General features: G+C 41.5%; 1 pseudogene; it reads left to right on the top strand.

Moving 5' to 3' along the window:
• Positions 396–3,140, top strand: RSL24D1P4 (ribosomal L24 domain containing 1 pseudogene 4; annotated as a pseudogene).

Below are 15,832 nucleotides of genomic sequence, written 5' to 3' on the forward strand. Positions count from 1 at the left end.
AATCAATCTAGGAAAAAAAGTTTTTGTATTAATTAAACTTTGCTTAAAATATACCAAAAGGAATAGAAAACTTCAAACAAGCACAAAATAAACTAATTCCATCTTTGAGATGCAAATATATATGCACAACATAGATGAAAAAATATTTTAAAAATTGGCAAATCCACTCTAGCATGTACTATGATAGCGTTTTTCCTGCCTAACACATTTCTTTCTCACCAACTACCCCTAAACTTCTTTTTGTAATGCTACTTTCTTTAAGCAATTGTTCCTCCCCTATTCTGGAAGAGCCCACACTACTACTGCTCAACCATGGAGTAGACATGTGACCTAAACCAGACAAATAAGATTCTCTCTGCTTGAAATTTAGTTCTTGAAAACATCATAAGGTGGTCACTTCCTCTCAAGCTTGGCATTTGGCTGGTGGGGACCCACGCGGGTTCAACACGTGTATCAAGAAGCATTATTTCTGTTTGGGGCCCATCTACCCTGGCCATGGCATAACGTTCATCCGCAATGATTGCAAGGTGTTCAGATTTTGTAAATCTAAACGGCATAAAAAAGTTAAAAAGCAGCACAATCCTTGCAAAGTTAGGTGGACTAAAGCATTCCGGGAAGCAGCTGGTAAAGAGCTTACAGTGGATAATTCATTTGAATTTGAATAACATAGAAATGAACCTATCAAATCCAGCGAGACCTATGGAATAAAACTATTGATGCAATGAAGAGAGTTGAAGAGATCAAACAGAAACGCCAAGCTAAATGTATAATAAACAGATTAAGGAAAAATAAAGAGCTACAGAAAGTCCAGGATATCCAAGAAGTCAAGCAAAACATCCATCTTACCCGAGTCCCTCTTGAAGGCAAAGAGAAGCAGCTGGAAGAGAAAACAGTACAGCAGTTACAACAGGATGTAGACATGAAGACGCTTCTTAAACATCTCTGTAACCATTTCTTGATGTACATTTGAAAATGTCCTTTGGAGACTTGGAACTGCTAAATTATTGGTTTATTTTTTTATATATGGTCACTTAAATGAAAAGTGATTAAAATATATCTTTCCTACATTACTGTCTTCAAAACATCAGCTATTACGGATGTTAGATTGAATCTTAGTGTAAAATCTACACCGATAGATGTACTCATGTAAATCATGAAACTTCTACCTATAACTATAGAAGTGAATTGTGGACATAAAATGGTTATGCCATTGGGATAATGGCAGTAGGTACTGTTTCCGGAATTGGTGGGTTCTTGGTCTTGCTGACTCGAAGAAAGAAGCCACGGACACTCGCAGTGAGTGTTACAGTTCTTAAAGATGATGTGTCGGGAGTTTGTTCCTTCAGATGTGTCCAGATTTCTTCCTTCAGGTGGGTTTGTGGTCTCGCTGACTTCAGGAGTGAAGCTGCAGACCTGCGCAGTGAGTGCTACAGCTCTCAAAGGCTGCGCGTCTGGAGATGTTTGTTCCTTCTGGTGGGTTCGTGGTCTCGCTGGCCTCAGGACTGAAGCTGCAGACCTTCGTGGTGATTGTTACAGCTCAAAAAAGGAGTGTGGACCCACAGAATGAGCAGCAGCAAGGTTTGCTGCAACGAACAGAAGGACAAAGAACCCACGGTGTGGAATGAGACCCCAGCAGGTCGCCGCTGCTACCTCAGGCAGCCTGCTTTTATTCCCTTATCTGACCCCACCCACATCCTGCTGATTGGTCCATTTTACAGACAGCTGATTGGCCCATTTTACAGAGAGCTGATTGGTCCATTTTGACGGGGTGCTGATTGGTACGTTTACAAACCTTGAGCTAGACACAGAGTGATGATTGGTGCATTTACAATCCTTTAGCCAGACACAAAAGTTCTCCAAGTCCCTACTAGATAAGCTAGACACAGAGCACTGATTGGTGCATTTACAATCCTTTAGCTAGACACAGAGTGCTGATTGGTGCATTTACAATCCTCTATCTAGACATAAAAGTTCTCCAAGTCCCCGCCAGATTAGCTAGATACAGAGTGCTGATTGGTGTATTCACAAACCCTGAGCTAGACACGGAGATCTGATTGGTGCATATACAATCCTCCAGCTAGACATAAAAGTCCTCCAAGTCCCCACCCAACTCAGGAGCCCAGCTGGCTTCGCCTAGTGGATCCCGTGCTGGGGCCATGGGCAGAGCTGCCCGCCAGTCCCACACGGCTTGCCCGCACTCCTCAGCCCTTGGGCAGTCAATGGGACCAGGCACCATGGAGCAGGGGGTGGCGCCCGTTGGGGAGGCTTGGGCCGCGCTGGAGCCCATGGACTGGGGGGGGACTCGGGCATGGCGGGCTGCAAGTCCAGACCCCTGCCCTGCGGGGAGGCAGCTGAGGCCTGGCGAGAATTCAAGCACGGAGCGGGCGGGCGGGCAGTGCTGGGGGACCCGGCGTACCCTCCGCAGCTGCTGGCCCAGGTGCTAAGCCCCTCACTGCCAGCTCAGAGAGGGGCTCCCACAGTGCAGTGGTGAGCTGAAGGGCTCCTCAAGAGTGGCCAGAGTGGACGCGAGGCCAAGGAGGTGCCTAGAGCGAGCGAGGACTGCTAGCACGTTGTCACCTTTCAGTAGCATTTGTATAACAATGAATGGCAAAAATTCATGGCTAGTGATGTATAAATTAAAATATTCTTTGCAGTAAAATATTCCTTTTATTAATGTTATAGAAGAGGGGATACAACAAGGAACTAACAATTTGTATGACAGCGTCAAATATTATTGTGATTTTAGTATTTCCTGTTTTGGTTTATTTGCATCTTAGAAGAGCATAATGACATTGTTTGATGAGGCCTAATTATGCTGGACTGTTTTGACCTGGTTTAACCCTTCTGATAGGTAGATGTGGATGCTGGGGATGAGAACTGAATAATCTTTGCCTGAAATGGCATTACACTCTAGAATTTCCACTTTGGAGAATATTCGGTTCTAACCTGTGATTCCTGGTAGAACAAACTTTATTTTTCTAGCCTAACAATGATCTAGAAGCAGAGGAATCCCAGTGCCTTTTAAAAATTTATTATGTGGTTTTCTTTTAAAAAGCTCCTAATTGTTTTTGGAAAGTAGAATTTATGGGTACAACATCTGTTCATTATTTGGACATAAAATGAAACCATTTTAAAAGTAAAAAAAAAAATCATAAGGTAATAAAGGTAATTGGGGGTAAATGATACGATGGTGTCGTAGGAGCAATGCGATCTGCTAGCTTCTGTTGCTTGGCTCCTCCAAGCAGTCTTGGTTCTCCTTGAGCTTTCATTGTTCAGCTCTTTGTTTCTTCAAAATATCCCCACTGTATTTTCAACACACTCCTCTTTTATTGCTATTAAATGCCTATTAGTCATTGTTTGCCACCAGATAAATTCAATTCAAATGATTAGAATAGCTAGAAATAGCGATTTACTTACCTGGGCAGAATGGTGTTTTACTTACCTGGGTATATTAACCTGGTAGAAAAATTAGGCAATACCAATAGAAGCAAAAAAAAGCACTAACATTTAATGCTTAATCTTTAAAAAAGAAAACTCTTAGTAAACTAAAAATAGAAGGCATTTTCCTTAACTTAAAGATATTTGCCAGAAAACATCATAACTTGACAGTGACATTTAAAGTAACCTCATGAAAGTCGGGATAAGGTAGCTACCTTCTATCAGTCCTACTATTCAACATTGTCCTAGAGGCCCTGGCCAGAGCCTCTAGGTGCCACTAAGATAAGAAAAATCAAGACAGAAACAAAATTATCTGCAATTATTTTAATAACCTTGTAACTAAAGCAATGTCTTCAGAATCATTTAGTACATGATCTTTATCCTAATTACTGAGGGGCAGGTAGGGATAGAGATTATAATTTGGTTTTACAAAAAGAAAAAATGCAGTAGTATTTTACTTGCAAATAAGATTAATTTTGGAGGGAGCAGAAAAGACACCAAGTCTTTCTATGACTGCAAAGCCATGATGGAAAAAAAAAATGGTGAAAGGTAAGTTTCAAATAATTGTTTTCTTTTTGGGGGGCTTCAGAAGAAAGGGATGCAAGACAGCGAAGCTGGTCAATGTGGTCCCAGGTTACCCTTTTGGGCAAGAAAAGAGACAGATATATAAGATAAATGAGGATAAAACTTGAGGACAGAGAGGTCTCGTGTCTCCTGTTTCCCATTTGGGGCTCTGGGTGGAGTCCGATTCATAGATTACCTGTATAAGGCCATTCTCACATTGCTATAAAGACATACCTGAGACTGGGTAATTTATAAAGCAGAGAGGTTTAATTGGCTCATGGCTCTACAGGCTTTATAGAAAGCATGGTGCCAATGTCTGCTCAGCTTCTGGGGAGGCTTCAGGAAGCCTACAATCATGGCAGAAGGTGAAGGGGGAGCGGGCATGTTACATGGCAGAAGCAGGAGCAAGAGAAAGGAGAGGGGGAGGCGCCACACACTTTGAAACAACCAGATCTCGTGAGAACTCACTGTCATGAGGCTTGTACCAAGAGGATGGTACTAAACCATTCAAGAGAAATCTGCTCCCATGATCGAATCACCTCCCACCAGACCCCACCTCCAACATTAGGGGTTATAATTGAACATGAGATATAAATGAGGACACAGATCCAAACCATGTCACTACCCAAAACCATAATGGGATTAAAACACACTAAAGCAAATTGGAGATACATGCAAAGTGAGGTATTGAAATTTAGTTTTCACAGGCCACCATCAATTCCTATCCAGTAGGACACGAGATTCAGAGTCTGGGAACCTGTGACCTGAGAGCAGAGGGTGGGAGGGACCATCAAGCCAGAGGGTTAGGCAGAGAATGAGGCTAAGACTCAGGGGTGCAGCCAGCAAGAACTGAGGGGATTGCATGTTGTTAGGGCAGGGGCAGAGGGACTGGGGCCTGTGGGGAGGGGTGAGTATGACCACTGCATCCAGGAGCATTAATAAATTAAAAAAAAATGAGTTGTAAATTCAGTGTCCAGAGACTACTGTACTGAAGTCCATCAGAGCAAAGATGTCACCACAGAGAAGACAGAATAAGAGTATTACACCCATCCGAATCCTCCTTCTCATCACCACCACTAAGACAGGGCAATTTTCCTCATATACCCAGACCCTATCTTGGTGAAATTAAAAGGGAAGGGGCCAGCTCTCCAAAAAACTGTGCTTTTTTTTTTCCTTTCCCTGGAGAGACTGAGAACACACTAAAGAGACTACTTCAACTGTTAGACTGGAATAAACGACACTGTTTTTTGTTTGTTTGTTTGTTTGTTTGTTTTTGAGACAGAGTCTTGCTCTATTGCTCTGGCTGGAGTGCAATGGCGCATCTCGGCTCACTGCAACATCCACCTCCTGGGTTCAAGAGATTCTCCTGCCTCAGCCTCCCAAGTAGCTGGGATTACAGGAGCCAGCCACCACGTCTGGCTAATTTTTGTATTTTTAGTAGAGGGAGATGGGGTTTCACCATGTTGGCTAGGCTGGTCTCAACCTCAAGTGATCCACCCACCTCGGCCTCCCAAAGGGCTGGAATTTCAGGTGTGAGCCACTGTGCATGGCTGACACTGACTGTTTAATGTTAACATTTAAATGTTTTCGCTGCTAACTAACAAGCCAGGAAACCAGATCAATTCTAGACACAATAAATAAATTACATTTTCTGTCAAAATAAGTGGCAAGATTATATAAAGTTATAAACCTGGGTCAGTCTACCAAAGAACCACAAGATGATCAATTGGAAATTTGTTTTAGAACAAAGAAGAGAATCAAGTAAGGTGGCCAGATAGGTCTACATATAAAAATCAGAAGTTTTACATGAAAAATAACCAATTAGAAATATAATTTTTTAAAAAAAGATCCCATTCATAATACACTCTCCTTATGAGATGTGCCAGATAGTATTTTTAAAAACTATAAAATATTACTTTAGAGTGTGAGAGAAAACCTAAATAAATGAGATATTGCATGATCTTGGGTGCGAAGATTTTATTTTTAATGTCAAATTTCCAAAAGGATTTTTTACTTGAAATTGACAAAATGAGACTAAAGTTTGTTTGGAAGATTAGTCAATAAAATGCACTTCTTCCCCAGAGCAATGACTAGGAATTTCTGTTACCACAGGGAAAGGAGCTACGCACACCATCCAATCCCAGTTGGCTTTCCAGCCCACCTGTCTCGCCCGCCCTCCGGACTCAGCACCTGTCCCTCAGTCCTGCCAAGGCTACGGAGTCAAGCAGATCACAGTGACCTTGGGCAAGGTCAAACTGATAAACCTCTCTGAGCCTCAATTTCCTCATTTGCAAGATAAGGTCACCTAGGTTGCTGGACTAATAATTGAATGAAATATAATTCCGTAATTTCGATGTCTGGTGAGATCTCTTGCAAATAACATGTACTAAATAGATAGATGTAACAGTTGTAATTATTGTTATTACTCTCATTATTACTACTATTATTTGGTCAATATTGTTAGGTCTTGCAATAAAAAAGGATTTACTAAAAATAAGACTAAAAATAGAGCTTGCAAAAGACAAGAGTTGTACATTTAATTATAAAAATTTAAACTTCCTATACAGCAAAGAACATCATAAACAAGGTTAATTCGCAGAAAAATATATCTGTGACACATACAAAACATGAAGTCAACTATCTTAGATATATATTTTTAAGTCATACAAATTAATAGAAAAAAGATAAAATGTAAAGAGAAAAATGGACAAAAGATCTAAAATGGCAGCCAGGTGCGGTGGCTCATGCCTGTAATCCCTCCACTTCGGGAGGCCAAGGTGAATAGATCACTTGAGATCAGGAGTTCAAGATCACCCTAGCCAACATGGTGAAACCCCATCTCTACTAAAAGTACAAGAATTAGCCGGGCGTGGTGGTGGCACATGGCTGTAATCCCAGCTACTTGGGAGGCCGAGGCAGGAGAATCACTTGAATCCCAGAGGTGGAAGTTGCAGTGAACTGAGATCGTGCCCCTGTACTCCATCCTGGGCAACAGAGCAAGACTCCATCTCAAAAAAAAAAAACTAAAATGGCAATTCACAAAAAAATAAATAAATAAAATGAAAAAGGCCAAAGCCAATGAAGATAGCTTTAGTCTCAATAAGACTCAAAGTACAAATAAAAATGATAATCATGTTCACATACATTTGGCAAACATTATAAAAACTTAAACTGGAATATATCCAATTTGCTTTGGGTAGAATATATTTATGTTCTTTGCAATCACTTTCTGGTATAGGTAAGTTTTCCTGCTAAACCTTTTCTGGTGTGGTTGTTTCCCTGGGATACAACTAAGGCCTCTGGGGCAACTCACCCATATCTTGACACAGATACTTTGATACCTGGTCAGTGAGTGTCACCAATTCAGATCACTTAAGAACAGTCATTGAACAAGAAAATTGAAAGTCTCTGAAATCTTACTGCTCATATATGAAAAAAATTTTATATAATTCTAAAAAACATTTTAATAATTCTAAAAAATTTGCAAAACATTGCCAAGAATGAGCTGTGAATCTGAAACAACATTTTCTAAACTATTAATGTGACTTTAAAACTTTAAAATTAGACATGCCACAGGAAAGACTAGATTATCTTTCTATTCTCTCTATAAAAATACTAGAAAATTGTCCTACAAAGAGGTAATCATAGAGAATACAGATTAAAAATACGGGAAAGAAATATTATAGGTGTATCAGGCATTCAATAGTCATGTCGCTGAATATTTGAATATCATCTCTGAATACTAGGACAGGAAAATATGGAGAGGGGAACTCAAACAGTGCTGCTTTGGGCAAGGAGGTTCAGTCCTCTTTTTCCTAATCTGACTATTTTTCCACCCACATTTTGAGTGCTAACATTTAGACTGCCGTGACTAGCAAATAGTTCCATGATAAAGGAGCCAAGAACCCAGGTTCTTTGTCTTGGTTTTACATGAGAGGGGCAAGAGGGAACCTCAGACCTCCTCGGCCTAAAAGAACACCAAGAACACAGGGCCAGCTACCTAAGCAGGTAAAGAGTATACATTCCCTGTGAATGTCACCTTGGCATTGGGCCCTTTGCATTCAGGAATCCAATTATATGAATGCTCAGTACATCTTAACATATTTAGTAGTCCTGAAGGCCATTCCTCTAGAATAAGAAACAGAAATTGAGCTGCTATTTCAGTTTAGCCTAGTCTTTGGCCAGGAAGTTCAGCCAAATCACTTTGGAAGCCATGACAGTTTGTCACTGGAGATGCAGGACATCAAAGAGAGCTCACTTACAACACATCAGAGTGAAAATGCTATTTGCTGCCCAACTGCCAGCAGAGGAGGTGCATTTGAGACTTTAACAGGATTGGAAGAGAAGCTTGCCACACACAATTTATCTTTTCCAATTGTCTTCACTGTTTTTTTCCACAGCTAAGAGACAAGTACCCAGCCTCTACAAACCCGTTGTAGCTCAACAAATAACATATAAACCAGCAAGGCAGACAGTCCATTTCATTTCCAGGTTATCTGAGGATGCCCATATTTTTGTATGTGGGATGAATAGAGGAGGATATGATGTTTTAGAACTTTTTATTTTGAAATAATTATAGACTTATAGGAAGTTGCAAAAATAGTACACGGAGTCTCATGCCTTCTTCATCCGACGTCCCCTAATAGTGACGTTGCAAATAACTGTAGTATAATTAGGATTGCCAGATAAAATGTAAGATATACAGTTAAATTTGAATTTCAGATAACAAATAACTATTCATTAGAAATGTTTCCTGATATTCCTTGTTGTTTATCTGAAGCTAAATTTAACTAGGTGTGCTGTATTTTTATTTGCTGAACCTGGCAACCCTAAGAGGTGTAAAATGTAAAAATGAGGAAATTGACATTGGTACAGTATTGGTAACAAGACTACAGATCTCATTCAGTTTTCATCATTTTTACATTCGTTCATTTATATAGTTATATACAGTTGTGTGATTTTTTTAAAATTTCGAAAACAAAAACAAAAGGTCTGAGAACTTTGCAATGCAGAGCCCACCACAGCCATGCCTAATCACTGCCCGATTTGCCATGGAACTGATGATTCACTCAAGCCTGGCCAAAGTTATAGGCTATGAGCAGCAGAACTGGTGGGAACCAACAGATTTGGGGTTTGCTCTAGCCTAAAGAACTCAATTAGCTTTCCACTGCCTGAGGAAGGTCATCCACTTGAATGTCCTTTGTTTTTATTATCCCTAGACCGTAATTTCCTGCGTGAATGGCCACTTTCATGCTTTGTAACAAGAGGATGAGTCAAATTCCTTTGCTTGGGCTATAATTTATAATCTGCAACCCACAATTCGATATTCAATCTCTTCGTTTTCTTTGTGAACAGTGGTGCTAAAAATAAGAAAAGAAAGTCCTGTGGAGAAAACAAATCCAACCTCACACTGTCTAAGCCATGCTAACCAGGCGGCTTTCGTCAAGGACCCATGGTCAGAGGCACCATGGGCATCCGCTGTCAGAATCACCAGACGAAGCCAGGAAAGGATTTGCTCCATTGTGAGACACATCCCCCCAGCCCCATGACCTCTGCCAGGCTATTTCAGCCACCTAAGCCTCTCAGAAAGAGCATACTTTAAATGTAAGTGGTGTTGCTTGCCTCTTAAAGAGTTAAAGAAAGAAGATTTTTATTAAAGATATACAACACCAGCCAGGCATGGTGGCTCACGCCCATAATCCCAGCACTTTGGGAGGCCAAAGTGGGCGGATCACCTGAGGTCGGGAGTTCAAGATCAGCCTGACCAACATGAAGAAACCCTGTCTCTACTAAAAATACAAAATTAGCTGGGTGTGGTGGCACATGCCTGTAATCCCAGCTACTCGGGAGACCGGGGCAGGAGAATCACTTGAACCCAGAGGCGGTGGTTGCAGTGAGCCTAGATCGCACCATTTCACTCCAGCCTGGGCACCAAGAGCAAAACTCTGTCTCAAAAAAAAAAAAAGAAAAAAAAGATACACAACACCAAAATAGTATCCCGAGACACAAGAGAATAAATCTGCAGGAACGTTGATTCATCTGTAGCTGGGGAGACCAGAGAAATCTTCTGGGGGACCTGTACCTAGATCCTTCTCCTATGTGGAGAAGACTCCTTAGAGTTATCCCCCAAACTGCTACAACCCAATGATCAACTTTTCCTAGGTTCCCATTGAAAAGGGAGGAAAATGAGAATTCAGTGATGTGTTTTTCATAGTTAACTATTTCAATTTAAAGGAGTGACTTTTATTCTAAGTTATGTTCTTTCTGTTTTTTAGTAACAAAATGTCCTGTCTGTTATAAAACGATAGTAAGATTTTCTGTTCTTTGTTGTTCTTTGGCAAATAAAATGTTGATGTGTCTGTCATTTATAGCCACAATAATTCTATGAAACACACTACCTCCAAAGCTCAATGTCATATAAAAATAAGCATGTGTTTCTTGGGCATGTCTAAGATTGGCTGGGACAGCCTTTTACCACGTGTGTCTCAATATCCTGGGTCCACTGTGCTATCTGTGCATCCTGTCCCCATGACAGTGGCAGAGAGATAAACAGCCAGCCTAAACATCCCATTGATCACAGCTAATGACATGGTTGAGCCCAAAGTCAAGGGATGGAGAAATACACTCCACCCTTTATGGGGCTAAGACTGTGAAAGTATAGCAACGCTACAGGGGTGGGGAATGCTGTTGCGGCTAATAGTCCAGTCTATCACATGTCGGTAATTATATCAGCTCCCATTTTCTCTTGGTATTTGCTGACCCAGAGAAAGACAGCCATTTGAGCATCACAGCTTCAAAGGATATCTTTGGCCATAGGAATAAAAACCTAACCTAATAAAGAGTAGTTTAGAAAAACCAGAAGTAGGAGCCATGAGATTGGAATTTATCATCAGCAATACTATGGGCCCTCATTAGGCGGTGACTGTCTCAGCTGTGAGTGTTCTGTGCTTGCATCTCTCTTTTTGCAAAATATGATCATCTGGAGGCAATCTACAATGACTGTACTGCATCTGTCACATTTTTAAGGCATCTTTGATATAGTGGTTAGGTGTTTCGTTTTGTTGGAACCATGGGAATCAAATTTACTATGCAGAATTCTGTGTGAGATCATAGATCATAGATTAATTCACCTGCCCAGCCTTCTCTGCACACCTGCAGTGGATCTCATTTCCATCCAAGGACTTTAATATTATTAGTTCATTATTAATTCATCATCCAAATTGCCACTTTATGACAGATGATACGCCAACTTTTTTTTTCTTTTTTGAGATGGAGTCTCACCGTGTCGCCCAGGCTGGAGTGCAGTGGCGTGATCTCAGCTCACTGCAACCTCCACCTCCTGGGTTCAAGTAATTCTCCTGCCTCACCCTCTCAAGTAGCTGGGACTACAGGCACGTGCTACCATGCCTGGCTAATTTTTGTATTTTTTAGTAGAGACAGGGTTTCACCATATTGGCCAGGCTGGTCTCAAACTCCTGACCTCGTGATCCACACGCCTCGGCCTCCCAGAGTGCTGGGATTACAGGCATAAGCCACTGCACCCGGCTGATACTCCAACTGTTTTTGAGCTTGTTCGGGTTCAATTTTGTCAATGAAATGCTCAGCGCTTTGTTTATGTTTTTAATTTTTTTTAATTAAAAAAATACCCTGGAAATCATCACCATGGCCTTGAGTCAGAAAGTTTAATAAACAAACATTGACAATTCCAACCGACAGTTAAAACATCTTGAAAATTACCTGCTCACTTACACTATCATCCCAGCAGAATGAGGGTATCTGTAATAGTCAACAAAGACAAATGGCTTAAACTTTGTTCCGGGTCCTGTCTCTGACTTGTGGCGCTAGAGTGGGCATGTTGCTTAATTTCTATGTCTCTCTGGTTCTACATTTACAAACTGGGGGTGGCGATGGGATTGAAATCTGTGTTTGCACATGTTTTGAAGCTCTTTGGAAGAAAAATTATACAAACCTGGAAAGCATCTTATAGTCCTAGGAAGAATGTTGCTCAAGTCTTAGCACAAAGCCAGGGGAGAACAGCTGCCTCTCAGCAGAGATCTAAATATCTTGCTTCTCCTTTCTCAGAAGAAAACACTGAACATGCAGCCACCTGTTTCCTGGCCAGGATGCTGGGTGCAATTGCACACAAGGGAGAAAAAGGCCTTTTGTTTTCTAACCAGCTGCATTTGCCGGCAGGTCTGTTGGAGTTCTACAAAACAGCGTGTGTCACGTTCTATAAAACAGCGTGTGTCACACAGCTTGGTGCTGCATGGCTGGACTCCCTGGTTTCTCTATTTTAGAACATCCAGGGGTTTGTGTCCCCTTTAAGAAAAGGTCATTTGGACATAATAACATTTGCCACCTTCACCAAGGCTCAATTCAAAGAGGAGTTGGCTCAGTTTGCATCAAACAATAAAAGACCTTTGTGGGACTAGGAGGGAGATGGAGAGAGGAGGAGGCAGAGTGGAAGGGAGTGGGGAGCCCTATCCTGGTAAGTTTCTGGGCACTAGAGGTTTTGTTCTGTTTTTCTTCATAAACAGGTGAACTGATTTCCTCTTATCAGGTAGAACATCATTTAAATATCAAGTCGCTCAGGGTGCTCAGGTGAAGAGGCTGGTGATGCTCCAGCCCAGATGCCTAGTCTTCGAGGAGAGCAGAAATGGCACCTTCTCCCAAGAAAGATGAACAGGAGGGAGTGGAAAGTCTCCAGCCTCACAAAAGACAGAAAAGCAGCAGCAGCAAGTGCATCACAATTCTGGAATCTGGGAAATAGACACGGGAATGGTAAATGCCTTTCTCGTGGTCATGCAGAAGCTGAATCCCAGCCAGCAGAGGCCCAAGCCAAGAAGCCACAGGACTGATGTCATGTGGGCTCCTGCGTCTCGGGAATCACAGGCTTGGAGTATGCCTAGAAGTCTTTGCCTAAAGAAGACTGGGCACACGTGTTTCAGCAAAACTCTAGAACCACAGATATTTTACTCAAGCCCTGTTAGCCAAACTATTGCCCCTATCTGAACCCCGAAAGCAGACTGGATGTTATTCTCTGAGAGTATCAAACAGAGAGTCTGTTGGATTAGAAACACCCAGGTGTGGTGTAAGCCAGGACTGTGCCAAGGAACACAGGTGGTTTAAGCAAACAATTTGTCTATTCTACTTTGAAAATCTCCCTCAACACGATCCCTTACCTCAGGGCTTTCCTCGCCCTTTCTAACAGCATGGAGCTGAATGGGTATCTTTCAGACAAGATATTAGAAGAGCCTTCTCTTAAATGAAACAATTAAGATATACCAAGATTGAGAATTCCCTAAGGAAACAGACTCCCCGCCTCCCAGCCCATCCTACTATGTGCCTGCAAATGGGCAAACCTCCCCCACCTGCATCAGCTTTTTAGTGTGACAATTTTAAAACATATGAACACGCAGGGAGGCTCACCAGATGCTGAAATATAATTTGTAATTAAAAAAAAGCAGGAGTCACAATATATCAAGAGTAAAAAGGAAATTTGGAGAAAGCAAATACTCAGGGGGATTTAAAAAAAAAATCTTGCAAACAATTGTTTTTCCATAAACCACTAGGGAAAAGGTAGATTGTTTGGTAGATTGTATTGGAAAAACTAGTTTACCATTTTGAGAATTTGAAGTTGGATCACTGCCTAATGCTACAAATAAAGGGAGATGCTAGAAGAATTAAAGGCCTAAAATTGAAAAGTAAAGCTATAAAGTTGATATAATGAAACATAAAAGACTACTCCCATGACTTAGGAGCAGGGAGAAACTTCTTTACACAAAATTCAGAAACAATACCTTGAACAAAACATGAAATAAATTGATAACATCCAATATAGGAATTTCTGTTTAATGGAGGGTGCTAAGGACGGTGACCATGGGAGGAGATATTTTCAATTTCTAAAATCAGTAATGGTGTCTAGAATATAAAGGGAACTCCTTCAAATGAGCAAGAAGAGACCAGAAACCCCCTACACCCTCTCTCCTACTCAATGATATCTCTGTAGCAAGGAAACACTTTCCCTCCTGTGCCGTCAATATCACCTTCATTATGGATCATTATCAGCAGATGCACATCCTCTCATTTATTCCTATTTTAAAACACCCCTTCTTGACCCCACTTCAACTCAATATTTCTACTTCCCGGCCAGGCGTGGTGGCTCACGCCTGTAATCCCAGCACTTTGGGAGGCCGAGGTGGGCAGATCACAAGGTCAGGAGTTCGAGACCAGCCTGGCCAATATGATGAAACCCCGTCTCTACTAAAAATACAAAAATTAGCCAGGCGTGGTGGTGTGTGCCTGTAATCCCAGCTACTCAGGAGGTTGAGGCGGGGGAATCGCTTGAACCCGGGAGGCGGAGGTTGCAGTGGGCCAAGATTGTACCACTGTACTCCAGCCTGGGTGACAGAGTGAGACTCCATCTTAAAAAAAAAAAATTCTACTTCCTTTCACAAAAACACCCCTCAAAATAGCTGTCCACACTCCATGTTTTCAACTGCTCTCATTCCCTTCTTAAATTCTTACCATGTAACATTTGATTAATGCAAGAGGATATCTGTAAATTATGAAGCATAATAATAAAATGAACACCAATGAAGCTTCTACTCCACTTAAAAACTGGAACATCACCAATTTCATTGCATTAACCTGTATGTTCCTTCTCTACCCCATCACTCTGCCTTTTCTTCTCCGAATGATAAAGCCACTATCTTATATTTTGTGTTTATCATTCCTTTCCATTTTATAAAGTTTTTATCCCACCTATCTGTATTCCTAAACAATACACATTAAAATTGAGGGGGCTCAGGTTTTGTTCGTTTTTCCTCCATGCTTTGAAGTCATTTTGTATTCAACATGTCCAGAAATTCCTAACCTTTTCCTTCACACTTCCCCCAGTCTCCTCAATCTTGCAACATCATCCTTCTAGCTGCTCAGACAGAATTAATTTTTTCACTTATGACTCCTCTATCTTGTAAAACATATCCATATCAGTAAGTCCTGTGGGTTCTCACTTCAAAATATACTCAGGATCCAACCACGCCTCATTGCCACTGCTTTCGCCCAGGTTCAAGCCACCATCATCTCTCATCTGGATTATTGAAAGTTCCACTGATGTGCACGCCTGCTTCACCCTTTCCCTTGCCCCCGCATTCACCTATAGTTTACTCTCCGCACAGCAACCAGAGTGATTATCTGGAACTCCGTGTCAGAGCACCTTAACCCTTCAACTCAGCACTCTGCAGCGGCTTCTATCTCAGGCAGAGTAGGAATCTACAAGGCCCTACGTCACACCCTGGACAGTCCCCACATCCCACACACAACTCTCCTGCTGTTTCCTTAGGGTCGCTCCCTCTAACCATCTGGCTCCTTGAACAAGCCAGTGCACTGCTGTCTCCAGGCCTTTCTTTGCTCATGCTGTTTTTCGTCTTACTTGGGAGGCCTTTTTCCTTGCACATGCCCTCTTCCTCAATGGCTCTCTCTCTCACCTCCTTCTCTTCTTAAATATCATCTTATCAGGGAGACCTCCTCCACTGCTCTGTTTAAAATAGTACTCTTATGCCCACCAGCACACTCTATCCCATTCTCCAGCTTTATTCTTCTCCATAAACACTTATCACATTCTGACATACTGTAACTTTTGCTTGTTTCTTTGTTTATTGCCTAGCTTCCCGCACTACACTATAAGCTCCTTGAAGGCAAGGGTTTTTGTCTATATCGTTTAGTGCTCTATCCCCAGCAATGCCTAGAAAATACTAGGTTCAACAAAGATTTATTGAATGAATGAATGGATGTAAATAATCTCCTCACTTCCTCACTTTTGCCCGCT

This window comes from Homo sapiens, chromosome 1 (assembly GCF_000001405.40).
Source record: "Homo sapiens chromosome 1, GRCh38.p14 Primary Assembly".
In the NCBI taxonomy this organism is placed as follows: Eukaryota; Metazoa; Chordata; class Mammalia; order Primates; family Hominidae; genus Homo; species Homo sapiens.